The following is a 23,715-nucleotide window of genomic DNA, read 5'->3' on the forward strand; positions in this document are numbered from 1 at the left end:
TCTTATCTTATGGTCAAACTGATTAAAATTGGATAGATTTGTCTATAAGGTTTTATTAAAAATTGGGGTTGACATTAACAGTACACTAATATAAAGGTGAAAATTGGCTTATTTGGTACAAAAAGCATATGGAAAGCATTGTGAAATATGAAATAGTGTTTGGCTTTCTTTGGGTTGTATTTGCATAAATGTGTTATTGGTATGTGTTCCAAAATTATGAGAAACTCCTATAATTCTGATATGACTTAGTGTATGTTATCAAAGTTATAATTGTTATGTGAAATTGTTATATACCACAGAAGTAACCAAATTTCCTTATTAATTGTGGCTTTAATAGTGGCTGTCCTAAAACTTTTTGCCATCCACAGATGATTATTGTCTTGTGTTGATCCTCTTCAAAAGGTGGTTTATAATCAGCTACAGGACTTTGACAGACATTCTTAAATGCAAGTTTCTGATAACTTCGGAGACTGTGAGATTAGAATAGAGGAAAAACTTTCAAGACTCTCATGGAGAGCTCAAACGTTCATGATAGAACAGGAGTTCTGTTCAAGCAGAACAGGAGTTAACGGCAGGGACTGAACTAATAAAAAACTGAAGTAATCTTTTTTTTACTTTTTTGCTTAAAACGTTGCTGAATCTTTTTGTTTTCCAGAGCCAAGAAAACTTTTCTTTTGAGCTATTTATAGCTTTTAACAACTGAGTAAAGTATACTTCTGTGAACAAAATTTGGATCATATTTGTTTCTCTCTACCCAATTTCTCCAGAATTTGGAAACTAGTTGTGAGTATTCTTAATTATGGCAATACAGTTATTTGCATAAGTACAATAAGAATCTTTTTTCTTTTGTAAGAGGACACAATTGGAGAAACTGGTTATTTTACCAAGGCGTTGTCTGGAATGGCGTGCTTTCCTTTAAGGAATCAAACTTGACTTGAGCCAACATAGAGCCATTAGAAGCCCCTTGGGAAAACTGGTCTCATTCCTTGTCTACAAACCGTGTACAGGGTTCCTGACCTGTGGTAAGTAAAGAATGTCACTTTCTAACAGGCCCAGGAGCCCCAATTTATCTTGGTACCTCAAGAGAAGAGGAGTTTACCCAACTCATAGGTATTTGAAGGTACAAACCCACAGCTGGGCTTGGCTTTAAAATAAAAAAAGTCTTATCTGAGATTCTGTCTATGGAACAGAGTTCCACTGAAGCCAATTTAAAGAGCTTATGTGAAAAATAATTATTCTTGCTGCACTTTATACAAGTAATCATGCCAAGTATAATAAAGCAAATCAGTCTTACCAGGATTTGTTGCTAGTAAAAATGGGAAACTGGAGAGAGAAAAAAAGAAAAATTATGTTTCAAGAACTATGGTACACCTGTTACTAGATTTTAGTCTTAGTTGTTTTTGAGTTTGTTTCTGCAACTTAGGCTAACCTTGCTTATTGCTGTGAACCAACCAATGATCTCTGACTGCTGCTCAGAATAAACAAGAGGGATGGGTAATGTAAAAATCTGAATCAATATTCTAATTCTAGGCACATTGTAATCATCTAGCAACCCCATATCAGCATGGTTTCAACAGTTGGCCAGTTCATGGAAAGCCTTCTTATTTAATTTACTTGGGATAATTTTACTTATTTTGCCTTACTGTTGTAGAATATAGTGCTGTTGTACAATATAGTGCTGTTGTACTCTGTGTAGGAATGCAGGATAAGCTTACTGAATGTTTTCTTAAATCGAACAATTATTAATCTTCCAGATATCACCTTTTGTTGAAACTTGGAGTTATGAATGGCCCTCACCATACTAATGCTTTCTGACTGAGCTTCTCTCTACCCCAAACACAAGAGACCCTAATAGTTAGGCAGGAATATCATTGCCCCTATTTAGCCTGAAGAAGTTACAGAAGATGACTCTTTGTCCATTTACAACTCTTAGGATTAAGGGTTCTTTTATAAAAGGGAGGGGGAAAATGTCAGAGGTGTTGGTACCAGAGCAAATTCATCTTGAATAGGGTCTGGGTAAAATGAGGCTGAGACGTACTGGGCTGCAATCCCAGACTGTTAAAGCATTTTAAGTCACAGGATGAGATAGGAGGTCAACACAAGATATAGGTCATAAAGACATTGCTGATAAAATGGATTGCAGTAAAAAAGCCGGCCAAAACCAAGATGGTGATGACAGTGACCTGGTCGTCCTCACTGCTACATTCCGACCAGGGCCATGACAGTTTGCAAATGCCATGGCAACATCAGGAACTTACTCTGTATGGTCTACAAAGGGAGGCATGAATGATCCACCCCTTATTTAGCATATAATCAAGAAATAACCATAAAAAGTGGGCAGCCAGCAGCCCTCGAGGCTGCTCTGCCTATGGAGTAGCCATTCTTTATTCCTTTACTTTCCTAATAAACTTGTTTTCACTTTACTCCGTGGATTAGCCCTGAACTCTTTCTTGTGTGAGATCTAAGAACCCTCTCTTGGGGTCTGGATCAGGACCCCTTTCTGGTAACACCCCCACCTTAAAACTCAGTGGCTTCCCACTGCTATTGGAAAGAAGACTGAAGTCCTTAATATGCCTAACATATCCCCACATGTCTGGTCCCTGCCTCATTTCATAATATGCTTCCTCTTGCTCCCTGTGATCCTGTCACAGCAACAAGCCTTTTTTCATGCTCCTCCCACATTGACCTTCCCTTTGTACTATTCCTTCTTCCTGGAATGCCTGGAATTACTAGAATGCTATTTACCCACACATCCCCTTCAACTACTTATTTCCTACCTATCCATCAAATCCCAACTCATCCATGGAGTCAACAGCCTTCCTTAGCTCTACAATTAAGACAGTTCCATTTTTCGCACCTCTCACATCATTCCTTGTTATCACAATAGGAATTCTTTATGTCTTCAAGCACTTCTTTGACTTATGCACCTCTACGCCTCCATTGGACTATAACTATATGAGAGCAGGGACTATGTCTGTCTCCCTCATTGCTCTAACCGTAGAGCTTTGCACATTGCCAGATATTTAGTAGGCACACAAAAGTCACTATTTACACCTGTAGATCCAGCTTCTCAGGAGGCTGAGGAGGGAGTATCACCTGAGCCCAGTGAGGTTGAGGCTGCAATGAGCCATGATCACACCACTGCACTCCAGCCAGAGCAACAGAGTGAGACCCTGTCTCCAAACAAAAAAAAAAAAGTCACCATTTGTTGTATAACTGAATGACTTCACTAAACGCTGAGGAATTAAAGAACTATCCTAGGTGCTCTACAAAGAACTACTCTTTTTGTTCTTTAAGAGTGACTGTTTTGGGGTCTGAATAATAGTTTGATTAGACAGTAGGAAATGCTTTTCATCATGAAGGGGGTTATCAAATGCATTGAGAGAACTGACTCAGAGATTGCTAGCTGCCAACATATCCCTTCTCTCCTATCTACATTATTGAGTAGCAAAGTGCCTAGCTAAAAATATTTACATTCCCTCAGCTTTCCTTAAAGGTAAGTAAGGTTGGTAAGATTAAAAAACAAATAAAGCAAAAACAGAAGGTAGGTTTTGGGTAAAGATCCTCAAGAGGATTGACTCAGCTAGGAGGGATGGCCCTTTGCCTCTTTCTTCTTTTCTCCATCTTTCTACCTGGGACATTGGCTTGAGCTCCAAAAGCCATCTTGGACTATAAAGCTGTCTTAAGAACAAAAATATGCAGTAAAAATGGAACAGAAAACCACAAGTTTCCTGGGTCCCCAGTGACCAAAACATAGCCATACATTCCTTGGTCTTACTACCTGCCAGTATTTTTTCTAAGAGCAAATAAAACACACCCTTGTGCTTTTGAGCCACTGAAGTCAGCTCTCCACCCTGCAATCAAACACAATTCCTAACTGATGTGACAGTTAATGAAAAGAAACAAACTCTGCCCTTAAATACCTTAATACCCTACAAATTCCTGAAGATAAGATAGATGAGCCCAGAGTGGCAAGAATTCATCAGGGTTAATCAATTCCAGTCACATCCCTAAGGCAATTATTTATAAATGAGCCAGGGTATTTGATTATCTATAAAGTATCCAGTGATGGACATTTCACCACCCCCTTCATGATGAAAGGCATTTCCTATTGTATATCCAAAATTATCAATCACACTCTAAAAGGATCACTCTTCAAATACAAAACTTAGATGATGTTCAGACTGGCTAATAACCTTAATATTAGCCAGAGAGTTTTTACTTCTAAATTCTATTAAGAATACTATGAAATTTGCAACTTTATTTACATGAAATCAGCTCAATTTAAAAGGGAAGTAGGAAATAGCATTAAATGAGCACTTAGTCTGTACCAGGCACTGTACCAGATGCTTTGTATAAATCGTCTTACGTGAACCTCCCAATAGCTCTGTAAGGTAGATACTGTACTCATTTTATAAATAAGGAAACTGAGGACCAGAAAAGGGAAGTGATCTGCCTAAGGTATCTCAAACAAGTACTAAGGCTGGGATTTAAACACATCTGCCTCCACATCCTGTACTATTTCCACTACTCCATTCTGCTTCGAAGCCAGCGATTGCTAGTATCTTGAGTGTGTGGTTGAGATCTCACTAAGTCCTTTTAATGAGCAAATGCTCTTCTTCATGGGATTTACAGTAAGACATTCTTATGGGCTGAATTTTATCTTCGAAAGTCCTAACCTCTAGTACCTGTAAATGTGACCTTATTTGGAAAGAAAGTCCTGATAGATGTAATCAATTAAGATGGGTTCATACTGGATTAGGGAAGTCTCTCATTCAATGATTGGTGTCCTTATAAAAGGGAAATCTGGACCCAGACATACAGAGATAAGAATGTCATAGGAAGATGGAGACAGAGATTGGAGTGATGTGTCCACACGACAGGGAACACAAACGATTGCTGGAAACCACAAGAAGCTAGGGAGATGCAAGAGAAGAGTCTCCCCTAGAGCCATTGGAGGGAACAGGGCCCAGCTGGCATCTTGATTGCAGGCTTCTAACCTCCAGAGAACTGTAAAGGAATACAATTCTGTTGTTTTATGCCACTCAATTTGTTCTAATTTGTTGCAGTAGCCCTGGAAAACTAACAGAAAAGTTAGCTTGGACTTCAGCCTGCCTTGGCTTTAGCAATAACGTATGTTTTGTTGAGTATAAAGTGAGGCCCATGTCACATGATATGGGGGTGGTACTATGGTCAAATGGAGCTGGGAATGTGTCCAATACTTCCTCCTGCCCCATCCAGGAAGACACTGAGAAGGGTGCGAGAGATAGAGGGTGGCAGATGGAGTGAGGGAGGCAGGACCACATGTGGTGGGTGGCTTGTGCTAAAGAACTGAGCTGGGCCAGTGAGATGTGAATAAAGAACACGTGTTCTGATGGTGAGGCAGGAGCCCTCATTACTTGATCTAAAGAACTGAACACCTCATTTTTTTCCAATTGCCCAAAATGAGGCCATAAAAGGTAAACCAACTTGGACCTGTGTTTTGATTTTGAGCATCTGTTAGGCTCGGACCAGCTAAAACCCATTGACTAGGGACTGGCTCCAATTTTATATTTTATACAATGCCAAGGACATTGTTAGTGGGTTCATTAAAAGGTTCAGTTAACTGACACGAATGCTTAGAAGCATTGGGGAGATAATTACTCAACGTGTACACCCTGAAATGTATGAAATTATTAATAATAGAAACCCAAGCCAAGACAGTATTCTTGTTAAAATGAAACTAAGTAGGAGATAATGGAAGTGAAAGGTATCTGAAGATGGTTTTTTCATTATTTGGCTTACCTCATGGTGGAAGCACCCATTTCAAAATAGTTTCTAAATGTATGTGTATAAACATTTCAAAGACAATAATTGTAACAATAGTTATAACATCCTGTTAGACTAGTCACCTTTCAACAAAGCCAGTAAGCCAAAATAAATAAATCTTGCCAAAGCTTCTCTCTTATCAAGGTGAACAACTCATTCCAGTTTACCTAGGAACATCCCAGGTTTAGCCCTAAAGGTCCTGCATCCCAGGAATCTCCCCAGGCCTGGGTAAACCTGAACATTTGTCCCCCTGCCTCTAATAATGAAGAGCATGGTCACATGAGCAGGCACTAAAGGGCAGAAAACTGATCCAAAGATCCAAAAGGTAAGTTCAAAGAAGAATCTTATAGGGTAAATACTGGTCCAAGGGATGAGGCTAAAACAAGGCCAGCAGGCTGAAGAGCAAAGATCAGTTTTCAAGAGCACTCACACTGGCTTCTCACAACCACAGGGTTGGTTTCTTCTAAGGCCTCTCTCTTGACTGTAGGTGGCCTTCCTCTCCCTGTGTCTTCACGTTGTCTCCCCTGTGTGTATCTGTGTCCTAATCTCCTCTTCCGATAAGGACACCAGTATTGGATCAGGGCCCACCAGGATTGAGGCAGGAAAATAGGGTCTGGAGGCAGGGAACCTAAGACCATTTCATGCTGACTTCCTAGAACTGAATTGAAAGGAAAATCCTAACTTTCCAGCCTAAGTAACAAAAGGACCAGAGACTACTCCCTTTGCAAACCCCCACCTTTTCTGCACAGCAGATGGGAAATTGAAAGTACCTCTGATTGGTTGATTTTTGCAACCAATCAGACATTTGCATAGGAGTGTGACCTTTGGAACTTCACTTCAGCCTCTGGTTGATTGCTTTCTGCAACCAATTAGACTGACGGCGGGCCACCACTTCATTTACATGAGGTGAGCACCAAGTGGTCAATGGGAAACCCCTAGAGGGTATTTGGACTCAGGAAGATTCTGTATCTGGGCTCTTGAGCCCCTGTGCTGGGGCCCACTCCCACCCTGTAGAGTGTGCTTTTGTTTTCAATAAATCTCTGCTTTTGTCGCTTCATTCTTTCCCTGCTTTGTGCATTTTGTCCAATTATTTGTTCAAAATGCCAAGAACCTGGACACCCTCCACTGGTAACAAGATGACCTCATTTTACCGTAATTACCTCTTTAAAGACCCTATCTTCAAATATAGTCACATTCTGAGGTACTGGGGGCCTAAGACTTCAACACAAGAATTTTAAGGGGAAAGATACTAAACATAGTGGATGACTTCTGGGAAATACAATTACAGCCCTGAAAACATGAGCATCACCAGAAGTCATGTATGTTAGAGGTTTAAGAAGACCACCAGTTCCCAGATAGCTTACCTACATTTCATAGTATTCGTTTACCTAAGTCCCACAGCCTAAACATTTTTAAAAAGTGAGACTAACAGTTAGGAACCACAGAGGAACTAGCACAGGAGAAAAAAAAATAGTGAAAGACAAAGAATCAGTTCATTCATGGCATCTAACATTCACACTGCACTTGATAGTCTGTGAGCATTTTCCACCTATTATTTCATGCATCTGCACAACAAGCCTGTGAGCCAGGGTCCTTACTCACAACCAAAGTCCCCCACACCCAGTTCCAACCACGCGGGTGCTTAAGTGCATGGTGACCATATTATTACTTGCTTTTGGCTTTGTGCTGTGTGGCTTGCTCTGTGGCTCATCATAAGATATTTATTCCAGATCCCTTCCCGGTGAGACATGTAGATGCTGTTTCATCAGAAGTTGCGTGGGTCATGAAGCCCAAGGCCAGCAGTTCTGGATGCCTCCATGAAGCTGGATATTGCTTACTTGTTAGCATCCCTCTCTGGCAATCATCAATAACCTCTTTTCAAAAGTACCTCCTTATACAAGACTCTTATCAACTGATTTCATCATTTTTAGCACTGAAACCTTGGTCTTCCTGCTCTCTGCTCTGACAGCATCTCTCTGATAACCTGAGAAATCAGAGTTTCACCCCTGAAACTAAACAGGCCATTATTTCCTAATTTTAAATGATGACATGACAAGCCTTCACCCTATCTGTTTCTTATTTCCTTGAACTCTCCCACCCTCACCAGCAGCCAACACAAATCACAACGCAATGCAAAGGCCAGGCCACAGAACACGCTGTGAATCGACAGTTTCAGAAGACGTCATTCACACAATGTGCAAGGCACTTCCTGCACAGCCATCTCTGTGCCCCTGCAAAGGGCATGTGGCATGAGGCAGTAAAATAAGTATAGTCTGTGTTTGGGTATGAAAGGTGGTGGGTGGGGCGTGAATACATCCAAGATATGCTTTAGGACTAAGTCAAAAGAGAACTGAGAGTGAGAAAGAAGATTGGGATGACCTCCAGTTGCCCATCCAGATCCCTGGAGACTGATCTTCATGTGCTAAATTAACTATGTCCCCTTACCTCTGGCTTCTAGATGGGCTGGGGTAATGGGAAGGACTGCAGAGGGTGGAGGGTGGGATGAGAGAGCAATTGGGGTATTTATCCTCCCCATTTCCTCCTCACCAGGCCCCAGTTTGACAATGGTGCATTCCTCTAACCCCAGGCTCAGCTCCTGCCAGTCTTCCCTCTCCAGCTAATCCTTTCTCAAGGAACTCTTCCTCCCCGGCCTCTTCTGGCCTGAGGATTCTAACAGCTTCCCAAGTTGCTGGCCCTGGGGGGCTGCATCATCCCTCACTGGTTTCCCTTAACCTTGCTGACCCCATAGAAATAATTCTTCAATTAAACTCTCTTAAATCACTCCTTATACATTCATTTAATCAGCAACCATAATTGAGCAACTTTGGTAGGCCTCGTGTCATTCACCCTAAAAGAAACAAGGATGAATAAAACTGGTCTTTCCCCTAAGAGAGTTTTGAAGCATCTTTTTTCTTCTTCAGACATCAGACCCTGCCTTCCCTATGAGGAGGGAGGGCACCAGACCCTGCCCTCCCAAACACTTGGAATTTAACCAGCCACTCCTCAGTTTCTTGTACCATGATGGCCACATGAACTAGGTTTGGCCACTTATGATACTCATCCCCTGCCACAGTGATTGGCTCAGGGATGAGCATGTAACCCAACACTGACTTCATCTCTCACTGGTAATTTTGTCAGAGCTACTATAGAAGTTTTTTTCCTTTTTCTAAGCTTGTTAATTGTGAGGGTGTTGTGAACCTGGAGCTGTTGATGGCCATGTTGGCTTCCCTATTGGAGAGAACCAACTGAGAATTCGGTCAACACAGATGAAAGCAGAGATGGGAGGTAGAAAGTGTGAGAAAGACAGGTTCCTAACATTCTTTGTATACCTTGATCCAAATGGATCTGAATTCCATCTCTGGAATGTTCAGTTATCCAAGCTATTTTGTCTAAGCAATTTGAGTTAGATATCTGTCTCCTGCAAACAAAACAGTCCTGAGTAGTAAAAATGGCCTCCTTTACTAATCCATGCTACACCAATAGTCCAAGGCACCAAAGACTTGTCAAGGGAAAGAATTCTTTCACACAGTCACTAACAGTATCTTTAGAGAATGGGGAGCAGGTGGAAAAGAACATTCCAAAGTGCAACACACTTAGATGAGACAAGAATGTTAGATCTTAACTTTAGGGATTTCCCCTACATGTCTTGAAATTTAAATGTATTCATTTTAACATAAGTAAACAGGGAGAGCCAAGTCCTTATCAAGAGACAATATGCCCATATCAAGATATACAATTGATCCTTAAATCTTGACATCAAGATTTTGTTCCCACAATAATGAAGTTGAATTGCCATGTGCTTCTGTCAGATAATGACATTTAGGTTGATGTTGTCATTAATAAAAAAAAAAAAAAATCAGAAATAGCAATCTCTCAGCTGGGCACCGTGGCTCACGCCTATAATCCCAGGATTTTCAGAGGCCAAGGTGGGTGGATTGCCTGAGGTCAGGAGTTTGAGACCAGCCTGGCCAACATGGTGAAACCCCATCTCTACTAAAATTACCCAAAAAAACCCTATCTCTACTAAAATTACCAAAAAAATTACCAAAGCAGTGCACACTTGTAATCCCAGCTACTCAGGAGGCTGAGACAGGAGAATCACTTGAACCCGGGAGACAGAGGTTGCAGTGAGCTGAGATTGCATCACTGCACTCCAGCCTGGACAACAGAGTAAGACAGAGCAAGACTCTGTCTCAAAAAAAAAAAAAAGAAGAAGAAGAAGAAAAAGAAATAGCAGTCTCTGAAAACTAAGAGCAAAAACTTTGTTTTGTCCTTTCCATTTAATACTCACTGAAAAAAAAATCACACTTTTCCTAGCTTAATGCAACATGAAAATTCAGAAATAAAACCTAAATTATTTTCATATTCCTCATTTATCAACACTTACAACAAAAGGCCTCTTCAGCATACATAGCACACAAACCAAGATGAACAAGTTTTGTTCAGATCAAAACAATCAAATATATTGCAAATTTCTTCCTCAAATAGGAGCTTTTCATAACTAAACTCAAGGAGGAATAAATCACAAAATGTTATATCCAGATTCTTTTATTAATGTGACATTAAATCTTGAAAATCCCACAGCAACTACTTTTAACAATTTTAAAGAATCCAAGTCATTTTCATGAGATGTCTTTTTCAATGTTTTTCAATGCTTCCTCAAAAGTTAATTATTTAAGCTGAAGTCCTGGAATGTTTAGGCTTTGGGGCACCACTGAGAGAAACAAAAGCTGGAGTTACAAGAGCAGAGCTGGGAAATTTTTGAGAAAATCGTCAAGAAACATAAATGCTTGAGGGACTCAGAGAGTTTACACACATGTTCACGGCAGCATTATTCACATTAGCCAATAGGTGGAAGGAACCCAAACGTTCACCAACAGATGAGTGGATAAACAAAACGAGGTATATACATACAGTGAGACATTATTCAACCTTAAAGAGAAAGGAAATTCTGACACATGCTACAACATGGGTGAACCTTGAGGACATTATGGTAAGTGAAATAAGCCAGTCATAGAAGGACAAATATTGTATGATTTCATTTATATGAGGTGCCTAGAGTAGTCAAATTCATAGAGCAGAACGGTGGTCGTCAGGGGCTGTGGGGAGGAGGAAGTGGGGAGTTGTTGTTTGATGGTAAGTTACAGAGTTTGAGTTGGGGAAGATGAAGAAGTTCTGGAGATGGATGGTGGTGATGGTTGCACAATAATGTGAATGTACTTAATGCCACTGAACTGTACATTTAAAAATGGTTAAAATGGTAAAGTTTATGTTTTGCATATTTTATACCACGACCAGCAACAAAAACCCTCAAAAATGCTTAAAGGAGCAGGCAGACATATGGGCACGTGAAGCCAGTCAGGATGTGTGACAGACAGAAGGGTGAGGACCAGTGTGCACGCGTCCTCTCTAAAGAGAACACGCATCACTCAGCTCTCCAATTGCTGTCAGGCAGGAACTGGACCCAGTATTATATGTGGATATTATGATTTTTCAGGAGAAGCCTGAAATCCGCATTTTTATAAAATATCCTCTTTTTTTTAAGTTAGCAACAAATTTTAAAAAGTTTTTAAAACACTGCAAGTCAAATAAAGGGTGTCTGCAGGCCTCTAGTGGACTACCTGGTTTAGTGGTGAATTAGCAGCCCTCTATAAACGAAGGCTGCATTGGATCCAGGGCAGAAAGCCGAGTCCTAACAGTATTAGCTTGTGCAGGCAATTATTTCCAGATTGTGTTGCTGTATGCATTCACAAAGGAAGGCCTAGGAATATATCGCAACCATAACCTTATTCTCGGAAGCTTTGAACAAGTGGAAATGGGGTGTTTTATGTGTGTGTTTTGTTTTCCTTTTGTGTGGCTAAAATGAGAGCCTTTGGAATTCTTGTATGTATAAGAACAGGCTGTTCATTTATTGACCAGTGTAATAGATTCCCACATTAGTCTCAGACTAGAAATGAATGCCCCTTTGAAGAAAGGGTAGAATAATAAAGATGTGAACAGCATTTATCCAAATTACATGAAGGGCAACTTAGCAGTATTAACACCTCTCACTCTTACAAATGGGGCTGTGTGGGAGCCTGAATTTTAAAACAAAATCAATGTTTTAATTTTCTATCTTATGGAGTTGAAGCTGGGGGTGGGAGAATGACTTCTAAATAATAAAGCATCTTATAACAAACTAACATGAGTTGTAACTAAGTAAATGCAACTCTGAAACAGAACTCATAGCTCTTAAAACTCATCCTCTATTCTTCAAAATAATCAATTTTATTTGTAGTGTTTTTCTTATTATTGCTATACTGTAAATGAAGCACATAATGTCTTTTGAGTAAGAATGTGATGTAATTCATTGATTGCTAGGCAATAATATTCAATTCATTTTAACAAATGTATATTGAGCACCTTTTCAATGCTCAGAATTGTGATGGGCACAGCAGGTAATACAAAAAAAAATTGTGTCCATCCTCCTGTCACAATTAACGCTCCACCCAACAACACAGCTCACATTTCAAATACGGCAACGAGGAAAGCAAACGTGAAGCAATTAGCGCAGAGACGGAGGCAGAAACTACCCTGCAGCTCCCCTTGAGTTCCACAGGGAGGAAACATTTTGTGCCCTAATACCCCTAACCCTTGCTGGGGGTCCCCTTGTTATGGCACATGCGTCAGAGCTGGCAGGGACACCAGAGGACATGGAGCAGTCTTCCGCCTTCAGATTTGGTATTTATTGCACAGATGAGGTATCTGAGGCTCAGTTAAGGGATTTTTCCAAAGGCACCTAGCAAGTGGAAAAAGGGAGCAGAACCCGGAGCCCAGCTTCCGAGGCATGACCCCCCAGCCCCGCTCCACTGCCCATTGCCTCAGCAGCAGCGAGCGTTCTTCCTCCACTGCCGAAGCACTTCCTGAGCTCCTCCTTCTGCACACCAGGCTCTGCCCAACCCCAGCGGATGTCTCGGATGCAGTTCGTTGCATTTATGAAAGTTTAATGGCAAGATCAAGGGAGAGGAGAGAGAGAGGGGTGGGTGAGCTCTCGGTTTCCAGCTGGGCCTCCCAATTCTTGTGCCCCTCAGGGGTCACTACAGGTCCAAGGCCTGGTCCTCAGCTCTGCACATGCAGGAATTTGATTTTATCAGTTCACTCGGGAGTGATGAGACCCTAGGGGACCAACTCATGCCAACTAAATGCTCAAGACGCTGATTGATAAACCAGAAGGCCACTTTACTTGAGTATCCTGGGAAACATATTGTCGGGTGGATCCAGATATGCTTCTCTTGGGTTTTGAAGTCCTTTTGGGGAAACCAGATGAGTAAGGGGAGACTCTGTGGAAAATACAGACTCAGAGGAAAGGAACCTTGGTGGACTCAGCTCCACGCCAACCTCCCAGCTGTCCCCGTGCCTTCCCTCCCCTCTACTGTACTTGCCAACGATTGCCACCTCTCTTCTCCCTAAACACACTCTACCCTTTCTCTGCCTGTTCAAATCCTATTAATAAGTTAACACCTAGTGAGTGTTTGCTTACTACAGGATGGGCACAGTTCTAATAGTTTTATATAATTTCCCTAACACCCAATTCTCTCTTAAAAGAGAGAATAATGACAGTCCATACCGCACAGTGTTAGGAAAATTATATAAAACTATTAGAGATAAAGGCTCAGGAGGGTTAAGTAACTTGCCCATAGTGACGCAGCTAGCAAGACACCACCAGGATTCAAACCCAGGCAGTCAGACCCTAGAGCCCATGTTGGTTGTTTTTGTTTTCTTTTCTTCTCTTTTCTTTCTTTTTTTTGAGACATGGTCTTACTATGCCACTCAGCCTGGAGGGTGGTGGTGCAGTCACAGCTCACTGCAGCCTTGACCTCATGGGCTCAAGCAATCCTACTGCCTCAGCCTCTAGAGTAGCTGGGAGGCACTCTGACCCCCTCAATGCCTATCTCACTGTTGTTTGCAATTGAAAAACCTCAAAACAGCATGCGAAGAAATAACAATTGTTAAATATGAAAGTCAACATTACATGAAAATCAACAGAAGAGAAACATTTTGGCATATGAGGGGACTTTTTTAATCCCTTAAATACAAGTTTTTAAATAAGTGAGAAGGCAACTGCCTGAAAAATTTGATAGGCAAAATAAGCTGATAATTTGTTCCAATGGACATCTGGGATCATTGTAGCAGGTGGAGTAAGCAAAGAGACACGGCAATTCTGTTAGTACAAAGTTATATCTACAAATACACACACGCATACGCATACAAACACATACACACAAACTGCTACTGAACATCTGAGGTCGCGTAGCCTCAAACTATATCCGCACGCGTGAAGACTTGCTGGTTTAACCTCCACACGACTTCAAGTCCCTGATTATATACTTGGTTCCTGATTATATAGTTAAAAACCAAGCAATTATTTCCCAGTGAGTATTAAGATCATCGATATATAAACTGGGGATTTTAATCATTAGCTAAATAAACTGGGTTTTAAATCCTAGGCACTGTGAAGGTTTACACAAAGCCTGTATGTAATTTACCAAAGTCATTTTAATGCCAGAACAGCTTAGATTTCAAATAGGGGGCACCTAGCAAGAGCCCTTCAAGTCTTATCCTTCTGCTTGATCAAAAAGTAAAGACAAAACCATCCTGTGATTGTTTTTCTCAAAAAGTTGCAAATCCAATAACCATTTTCTTTGACTTAATATCATCATCTTTCAGAATTATAACCTAAAAAAACCACAGAGGATGTAGGCCTACCCCTGCACTTGGGATTTCCTAGGTCTTTAAATTTGTCACATAAGAATCAGCCTGTGGTCCAGTCTGCTTTTCCTGGGCCCCAAAACCTTTATTACAGCTGTCCAGTTATTTGTAATAGACCTGCAAATGTTCAGTAGCGATGTGGGTTGTTTTTGCATGGACAGTATCCCTTCCCATTTCTTGTAATACTAACATGTCAATTGTCACGGGAGACCACACTCCCCCATTCCCAGTCCATGTGCTTCAATGCATGTGTGGGGAGTGGAAGGAGATTTAACCCCTTCCCAGGGATGGACAATGACCCAGGCCTGACCAATCAGCTTGCCTGCCATGTTTGGTTGAACAATAGGCATGAAACCAATTCAGGGCAATGAGAATCAAACCTGGGAACTTTGCAGTAACTATGGGGAAAGAGAAGCTCTCTGCTGGGATTGTTCAGCGAACAGATAAGCCTGGAGCTTCTGATGGTATCTCGATATAATGTAGAGAGGACGTGCCTGAGGATAAAATCAATCCAGAGGAACACAGAGCCAAGAGATAGATTTCTGATAATATTGCTTGAGACCTTGATACGGGCCAGCCTTTGCCTTTACAATCACATGAACCAATTAATTTGATTTTTTTTCTAAGCCGCTTTGAATCAGGTTTCTATCATTTGTAACCTAAAGAGATACAGACTGTATAGCTATAGATACATACAGATTCTTTTAAGTTGAAACTTTGTAAAGATAACAAAAAATGTTTATCACAGTATAAAATGAGTTTGTACCAGAGATGTTAATTTCCTGCTATGAACCACTTCCCATTCCAGTGTGCACTGCCTTTCCCACAATCCCCTGCTCAGGGAAATGGCCACCAATGAAACTAAGATAAACAGCAACACAAAGGCAGGTAATTATTTTGCTGCCCGGGCTCCAACAGCTTGTGTTGCCTTTCTCAGTGAGCTGGACTAATAGGAATCTCTTGCTTATAGATTTATGCCAGGACATGCTGAGGGAAATTGAAGTCTCATGGTACAGACTTATGGGTTTGGTTGACCCTTCAGGGGCCATACGTAAGATAAAGAAACAAGATAGGACAGAAGAAGAGGGGCTAATTGAGCAGAGACCACATGACCTCTGAGAAAGAAAATGGCTCCATTCCCGATTTTCCAGTCCCTTGTTTTGAACCCCATGAGGCCCAGCTGTACTTTGATTCACTGTCATGGAATCTATTCCAGGAACAGGTCTAGAATAGTGGTTAGAAATCATGGCTCCAGAGTGACCTGCTGGGTGCGACTCCTGACTCCCACTTCGCACACACCTGCCTTAGAGAACATCCTCTATGCCTGCTCCTCCATAGTAAAATGGGAATAATAACACACTACCTCCCAGGATGGGCGAGAAGATTCCGTGAGATAATATACTCGGAACAGTGTCTGGCACATAGTGAGGTCTGAATCAATGAGAGTAGTAGTCATTGCTACAAGAACCTCCGTTACTCAAATTAGTTTGAGTGACATCCTAGTCCTTTACCACCAAGAGGGCACATCTAGAACAACAATTTTTTTTTTTTTTGAGATGGAGTTTCACGCTGTCAACCAGGCTGGAGTGCAGTGGCGCAATCTCGGCTCAGTGCAACTTCTGCCTCCCAGGTTCAAGCAATTCTCCTGCCTCCGCCTCCCAAGTAGCTGGAATTACAGGTGTGCACCAGCATGCCTGGCTAATTTTTTTGGTATTTTTAGTAGGGGGGGTGGTTTCACCATGTTGGCCAGGCTGGTCTCAAACTCCTGACCTCATGTGATCCTCCAGCCTCAGCCTCCCAAAGTGCTGGGATTATAGGCGTGAGCCACCATACCTGGCGGAACAACAATTTTCTAAATAGTTAAGTATAAATATATTTTTACACAGTACGTGTAAAACTATTAGCATATAGTATATATATATATATATATATACACACACACACACACACACACACATATACTACAGCTGTGCGTAGCACAGGAAAGTGTCTCAGATGTGTGGACACATCCCTGTTCTCATCCTTATCCTGCAGCGTGCCCTGATCCTCTAGGGTCCTGCACTGAACCTTCAGGGCTGGTTAATTTCATATACAAGGGCTGACATGACAGCCTCTAAGAGTTCTCTCTTTGTCTGCAACTGCTGGAAGCTTGGCCTCCTCTTAAATTGCAGTCTATAGCTCTAGCTATTTCTGCAGCTTCTTGTTCTTGTAGGGGAGGTGTCCTGTGTGTAATGCATGCACTCTGCAAAAAAATGCAGAGGTTGTGGAATTAGGAGAGTTTCTATAGACCATTCTGTCTTTCGGTATGTAGACAACAGCTAAGCCCAATCCATAAGCTTTCTTTCATTACTCAAACCACTCTCCTATGACACTTCCTGTGTCAAGTGGGCCCACCCCTTCTGAGGTTGGAAAGAAAATTCACCTGAGGCTGGAGGGTTTTGATTCTTCTACTGCTTTGTCCCCTTCTGTGAAAACCACATAAGTAAGTTCACAGACTTTGTCCCTTTCCAAGTAAGTACTATTTAATCATTCTGAACTGCTGATGTATGCTTTCCAGCCCTTAAAAAAAAAACTGATTTTACTAAAGATGATATAAATCAACTTGCAAAGAAACTTTTTAATTTAAAAAATTATTTATCTACAGCCTATATATGTGTGTACATATATATATATATATATATATATATATATATATATATATATATACACATAGAAATATTCTTCAAATCTGTTCCCCAAAATGCATTATGAATAAGAGGCACACGAGAGTCCTAAAAAGGAACAAATTTGGATTTCTTAAGGAAAAAAGTAAGAGTCTTTAACAATGGCCCTGATACATTTTGTTTGGCATTCTTTTCTAAAAGGCAATAATCAAGGAATTAAATCTATATTCCTCAAGGCCTTTCCCCCACCCTTCTGGTAAAATCAAGGTATGAACTTTTTAGTATAATTGCTACTCTAAAAATCAGAGAACTAAAGTATTCTTACAGCTACAGAAGAGGGCTAAGGAAAGAAGGGCTGAGCTCATTCAGCACACTACCAAGTCCCAAGTAAAGGGACATTCTCATGTGGGAATAAGCCAATTTTTGACTTTAGAGACAGTCCCTTGAGTTACAAGCTGATCGTGTCCTAAGTTTCTTTCTAACCTGAAATGTTCAGAATTTAGAATGTATTCTCCTCTAACAGCAACATTGTAAGCACTGACTTATGTCACCCTAAAGAAAGCATTCCTGAGAAGTCACATAGTTTTGTCTTGAGGGTCCTGCCACAACTTGTGTCCTTCTTTTATGGAAATGCATTTAGAGTTCCAAATAAGACATAGCGTCTCAGTGCCTCTGACCCTACAGGACTGTCACCAATGCCAAGACGCCAGTGGTGGCCAAGGCCTGTGTCCTTCCCCTCACCCCACCCACACTGACCTGCAGAGGGAAATCTCAAAGGGCAAGAGTAGGGGCAGGAGGGGCCCTTCCTGCCCCTGCTCCTGGTCCCCACTTGGCCGCCAGCAGAGAAGGCAAAAAGCAGGAACTAGAGGCCAGCAAGGTACAGGATGGGGGAGGGAAGGAGACTTGGCTGAGACTTGGGCAGGCCAGCTCCCCCGCCTCAGCTGGGGACTGCCTGTGCTCTTAGCTTTCATTTCCACTGTGGGTTGCTAAGTGCTATACATAATGCAAAAGTAAATAGTTACACAGCACAGTTTGGCATACACAAAAACACACATCAATCAGCCAAGGGGGGAAAAATACTCTCAAAGTTTCTAGGTTTATTTTTAGATCCTGGTTGACCAGTCGAGTAACCTAAATGCCCAAAGGAAGAGAAGTTGGGGCTGAAAAGTGTAGTTATTTAGAAACAGAGGACACTGACACTGAAGATCTCTAAGACCATTTGAGCTTATCAAATATGCATCGGTCAAGTCCTCAGGTGTTTTAAATGCCTCACAGTAGTTCTCTGAATAGGAAACAGCACGCAATGCACTCGTGAGACTTGCTGGACAGAAAACATCCTCCGTCATTGCAACCAAGGCAGCCGAGTAGATGCAACACAAAATATTGATATCCTTTTGTAAAAGTCTAAGGACGATAGCAGGAGCTACAACAATACTAAAGTAATTAGTAAATTCTTCAAGGAGAGGAAAAGTGTTTTTTTCACCTTGTATTTCCCACATCTGACATAGTGCCTTGGACAGAGCAGGTTCACAATAAATGTTTGTTAAATAGGAATAATAATAATAATGCTCCTGGAAGAGCTCCCTTTTTAAGATTCTACTTATAGTGATCAAAGTAGCTAACCAAGATTACAGTTTCAAACACAGATTTATCACTAAGAAAGGGAATCAGAAGGACGACCAGAAAAACAGACAGAATTACATAATATAATGAACTATCGGATTGGAAAGCAGGAATAACCATGCGTGAATCATTGAGATTGGCTCAGCCTCGTCCCCTGTAAAATGAGATCGTATCTGTGGCCCTCCTACCTCACAGCAATGCAGGAGTGATGAAAATGTGAAATCGTTAGCAGAAGCACTCTGAGCTTCTCAGACCGCACACTCCCATGGCATCCTGATATTCAAGTTCAAGGCAAAGATCTGGGGCCTGAGAAATCAGGTTATTCTCAGTGTAACTACCTAATTCCAGGTAAATGCAAATTCTTCCCTCCCTTAGAAAAATACTCTCCTGATTATTTGGTTTATTAGCTATAAACCACTAGTTTATAGCTGAAAAAAATGTACACATAAAAGGTATAACTTGCTTTATGGAAATGAAAGGTTTTTTTTTTTTAAGCCTAATTCTATAAAGGGTGATGGGACAATTCATCAGTAAGTTAAAGGAGAAAAGCAATCAGTTTGGCCCCTTATTTCCTCCTCATCCTACACAAAAATAAATTATAGTTGGATTAAATAATGATTTTTTTGAAAGTTAAGAATTTTTTAAAACCAGCAGACAGCAAAGCTGAGTAGCAAACCCTGTCAAAGTGCAGAGCAGGCTGTCCCATCAGTGGAATAAATTTCAGGGAAACATTTGCCCACTCGCCAGTGTCAAACTATGTCAAATGGGCAAGTGATATACTAATATTTGGGGAAATATTTGTAACAAATGTGCCAAAGACATTTTATTATGATAAAGATCTTATGTCCACAATATATATTTTAAGCAAAAAATAAAGCAAGTTACAGAATAATATGTATACTATGACTCATAATATCAAGCCCCCTTTGTATCTTTGAAATGAAGTGTATTTGTGTGCACACATAAATACAAGATACTATAAAGTAAAATAAAATATGCACAATATAGAAAATTAGAAAGAAGAAAGAATCACTCTTATTTCAAACATTCAAAGGCATCCTGGAGTATTTATTATCATTACTTAATATAGAGTTTTTTTCTTAGTTATGTAGTCATATTTATCAATTTTCTAAATTATTTTTTCACTTAACCCTACGTCCCAAACATTTTATCTTTTATTCTGCAATCTTTGTAGACAATGTTTTATTGCATATATAATATTTCATCTGAATTACACCCAGATCTTGTAAAGGTCTCCTTGTGGAGAAAGGTAGGGAAACACCCAGACCTTTAACACTGGCTCCCTGGAAGAGGAAACGAGCCATCAGAGCTTTTTCTTTGTGGATCTTTGTCCTGAATTGTTTCTCTTGTTATCACAACCATATATTACTTTTAAAATTTGAAGGAAAATTTTTTTCATTTTAACTGATATGAAAAACATCAAATGGTAAAGAACATGTAACTGAAAATTAGGAAGAGAAGAAATGCAACTAGTATATAATAATATAAAAAAGAAATGTTCAGCCTCACTAGTCATCAAAGAAATACAAATGAAAAGAAAGTATTTTGGATTGCTTAGGACAGTCCCTATTTCTGCCTGTCGTTTTGCTGTAATTATTAGAAAGCACTCCACTTTCACTCTCAAAACTGTCCTGATGTGAACAATAAATTATATAGTCACCCTAGATTTAGCCAAGAAATATTTCTTGGCCAGTTATGATGTGCTACCTACTAGGCTGGGCACTTAGATTAGTTAGTGAAAGTATTTTGAAGTGATGATGGTCAATGCATGGTAAAAGAAGATGAAATCGACACAGTCTCACAACATGAATTGCTCTAACCCATTCGGAAAAGTAAATTGGCTTTTGCTAAAAATGTGTTAAGACTTTTTAAATGTTCAAACCTTCAATCTATTAAATTCACTAAAACTATATCCTAGGATATAATGTTAAAAGGAGAAAAAGGTTATCGTACAGAAATAATAATAGCAAAAAATGTATAATAAAATGTTGACCAAATGACCAAAAATAGAATGACTAAGTAAACTGAGGTATAATCCATTCAATGAAATATTACATATGCAATAAAACATTGTCTACAAAGATTGCAGAATAAAAGATAAAATGTTTGGGACGTATGGTTAAATGAAAAAAATAATTTAAAAAATAGATAAATATGACTACATAACTAAGAAAAAAACTCTATATTAAGTAATGATAATAAATACTCCAGGATGCCTTTGAATATTTGGAACAAGAGTGATTCTTTCTTCTTTCTAATTTTCTATATTGTGCATATTTTATTTTATTTTATAATATCTTACTTTGATAATTGTGAGGACAATGATACAGAGGGAACAGCACCAAAGGTCCAGGGAACATATTCTTTAAATGTCTTCCTGTTGCTTTCCCAAGAAACTTCAGAGGCTAGAATGGACTTCTGGTTCTCACTGCTTGTCCTTTGGCCTGGCATGGAAATGGTCATCATGGCTTCCAAAGGGTGAGGCGGTGGGAACTCAACATCACTGACTTCCCACATCCCCAGCCTCCACTTCCAACAACTGAGAAAATTTAGATCATATGTCTAAAGAGATGTGTGTGTGTGTGTGTGTGTGTGTGTGTGGTGTGCACATGTGTGTCTGAGTGTTGCTTCCTCTCTCCTTCCCCTATCCTCAAGGGCAGCAAGACAAACTCCAGAGCAATGGTGCAGCAATCTGCCTTTAAAAATACAATAACAACGCAAAAGAGTGAGAGCCAAAGGAACCCCAGCCAGAGCAACACCCCAATATTAAAAAGTTTTAAATAACAACACGTTAAAGTCCATCTCTCCTCTCAAACTTGCCATATAATCCAAATTACTCATCTCGGATCTCTAACTGCAGTATTTAAGGCCCTATCTCAAATATTGGAATTAGGCTAAATATCTCCCCTCCAAGCACATGCAACAGTCAAATAAATGTTCAAAATCTCTTACATAACACTACAGTTATGTATCACACATAAATGATACATACATCTTCACAAAAATCTTTACGTAAAAATAGGGGAAGAAAAGACCCCAAATATTAACTCTGGCTGCCTTTGAACATTTGAATTATGGGTGATAACACTACAGTTATGTGCCTAAAACTGCTAGGGTAAATTAGAACTTTTTAATTTCAATATTACTATAAACACACCCAAGGATGTTCACCACTGAAAGAAATTCTTTGAAATGTTTATAAAAACAAAAACATTTTAGTAAAGAAAATAATGATCTCCCTAATTTATCTCTTTAGGAAATTCAAATATTTGTGATACCTTGTATGAGATTATTTTCTGAAAGGTAGGGTGCACCTGTACCTCTGGTATTAAGAACAGCAGCATCAGCACTTCTATTGGTGAGATGCTGCATCTTCTCCTTGCATGTGTTATTCTACTTAACCCTCTCAACCCTCACAGTAACCCCATAAGGCAGGTACTATTATTGCTTCCGTTGTCACCTGAAGATACAAGCTCCAGGGGCCTCACAGCTAATAAGTGGCAATACTAAGACCAAAACCGGATTAATCCAGCTCCAGAAGGGATGTGCTTTTTCCAGCAGAGAACAACAGATTGCCTCCACATTCTTTTTTTATACCAAAAATATCCCTTGCCTAAGCTTGTTTTAGACAAACTGTGATAAAAAAAAAAATTGTTATCAACTAACCAAACAAATTGGCTATCAATACACATTTAGCTATTGTGAATGAAGAAGATACTGAATGACTACATCAGTTTTCAAAAAAGTTATCCAGTCCCCAAATTAGAACTACAGGAAGGAAGCTGCTATAGTTTAAATAAGGTTGTTTGTCTCCACCAAATCTTATGTTGAAATCTGATCCCCATTGTTGGAGGTGGGACTTAATGGAAGGTGCTTGGGTCGTGGGGGTGGGTGCCTCATGAATAGATTAATGCCCTCCCTGGGTGGAGGAGGGAGGTAAGTGAGTTCTCACTCTATTAGTTCAGTGGAGAGCTGATTATTAAGAGCCTGGCACCTCCCCCTCCCCTTGCTTCCTCTCTGGCCATGTGATCTCTGCACGTGCCAGCTCCTCTTCACTTTCCATCATGAATGGAAGCAGCCTGAGGCTCTCACCAGATGCCCAATCTTGAATTTTTACAGACATCAGAATTATAAGCCAAATAAACCTTTTTTCTTTATAAATTACCCAGTCTCACTTATTCCATTATAGCAACGCAAAATGGACCAAGACAGAAGCTATGAATGCCCTTCAAACAATGGAAACAGAAAAAAATAAACCAATTAAGTGGTCTAGGAGAGAAAAGGAAAGGTATAGACAGACCTAAAAATAGTTTCCACCTTATCTCTGTTTCAGTAATAGCAGATTAGCACATATTCTCTTGGAAATGTCACCCAGGCAACCAGAAATACAAAGACAAAGATGTTCCAAAAAACACATGTATATAAATCTATTTTTGCCATCTTTAAGCATAAATGATCACTATAGCAAGAAAGACAATAATTAGGAGATTATCTTTTTTAAAAGCAGGCACAGAAGAAAGTTTATAAATAGGTACCTAGTGTAAAGCAGGGTAACAAAGTGTAAAAGTAGGTCTCTATCTGATAAGAGGCCCTGGCCCATTGCCTCAAATTCAGGCCAAGAATCTATTAGAAGTGTTAAACATATTTTTGCCTATGTTTTTCAAATCTCATGTTTTTATTTCATAAACCAAAGGCAGACGAATACAAAATATGGTAGGCCGGCAAATTTTAAAAATGTATTTTGAAAACTGCCTTAAGTCCCACTTAAGTAGAATAACTATGTTTCTTTACCTGGATTGCCTAGGACAGTCCCCATTTGTGCCTGCTGTTTTGCTGTAATTACTGGAAAGTC

The 23,715-nt window shown here is 40.1% G+C and overlaps 1 protein-coding gene across 12 annotated transcripts in view, besides 4 other annotated features; it reads right to left on the reverse strand.

Annotated features, from left to right (window-relative positions):
* NCALD (neurocalcin delta) overlaps positions 1–23,715 on the reverse strand; it is a 438,366-nt gene that overhangs the window by 403,437 nt on the left and 11,214 nt on the right. The gene's annotated exons all lie outside the window — the stretch shown is intronic.
* Positions 7,843–8,002: an enhancer, noted in NCBI's record as "active region_27741". NCBI's record gives its function as "activates an Ori minimal core promoter by ATAC-STARR-seq in GM12878 lymphoblastoid cells {active_cell/tissue: GM12878}" and the evidence as "EXISTENCE:reporter gene assay evidence [ECO:0000049][PMID:35858748]".
* Positions 8,013–8,062: an enhancer, noted in NCBI's record as "active region_27742". NCBI's record gives its function as "activates an Ori minimal core promoter by ATAC-STARR-seq in GM12878 lymphoblastoid cells {active_cell/tissue: GM12878}" and the evidence as "EXISTENCE:reporter gene assay evidence [ECO:0000049][PMID:35858748]".
* Positions 17,915–18,134: an enhancer, noted in NCBI's record as "active region_27743". NCBI's record gives its function as "activates an Ori minimal core promoter by ATAC-STARR-seq in GM12878 lymphoblastoid cells {active_cell/tissue: GM12878}" and the evidence as "EXISTENCE:reporter gene assay evidence [ECO:0000049][PMID:35858748]".
* Positions 22,507–23,008: an enhancer, noted in NCBI's record as "NANOG hESC enhancer chr8:103124713-103125214 (GRCh37/hg19 assembly coordinates)". NCBI's record gives its function as "activates a minimal SCP1, AML or CMV promoter by ChIP-STARR-seq in naive H9 embryonic stem cells {active_cell/tissue: H9 hESC(naive)}" and the evidence as "EXISTENCE:reporter gene assay evidence [ECO:0000049][PMID:30033119]".

The sequence above is a fragment of the Homo sapiens genome, chromosome 8, assembly GCF_000001405.40.
Source record: "Homo sapiens chromosome 8, GRCh38.p14 Primary Assembly".
In the NCBI taxonomy this organism is placed as follows: Eukaryota; Metazoa; Chordata; class Mammalia; order Primates; family Hominidae; genus Homo; species Homo sapiens.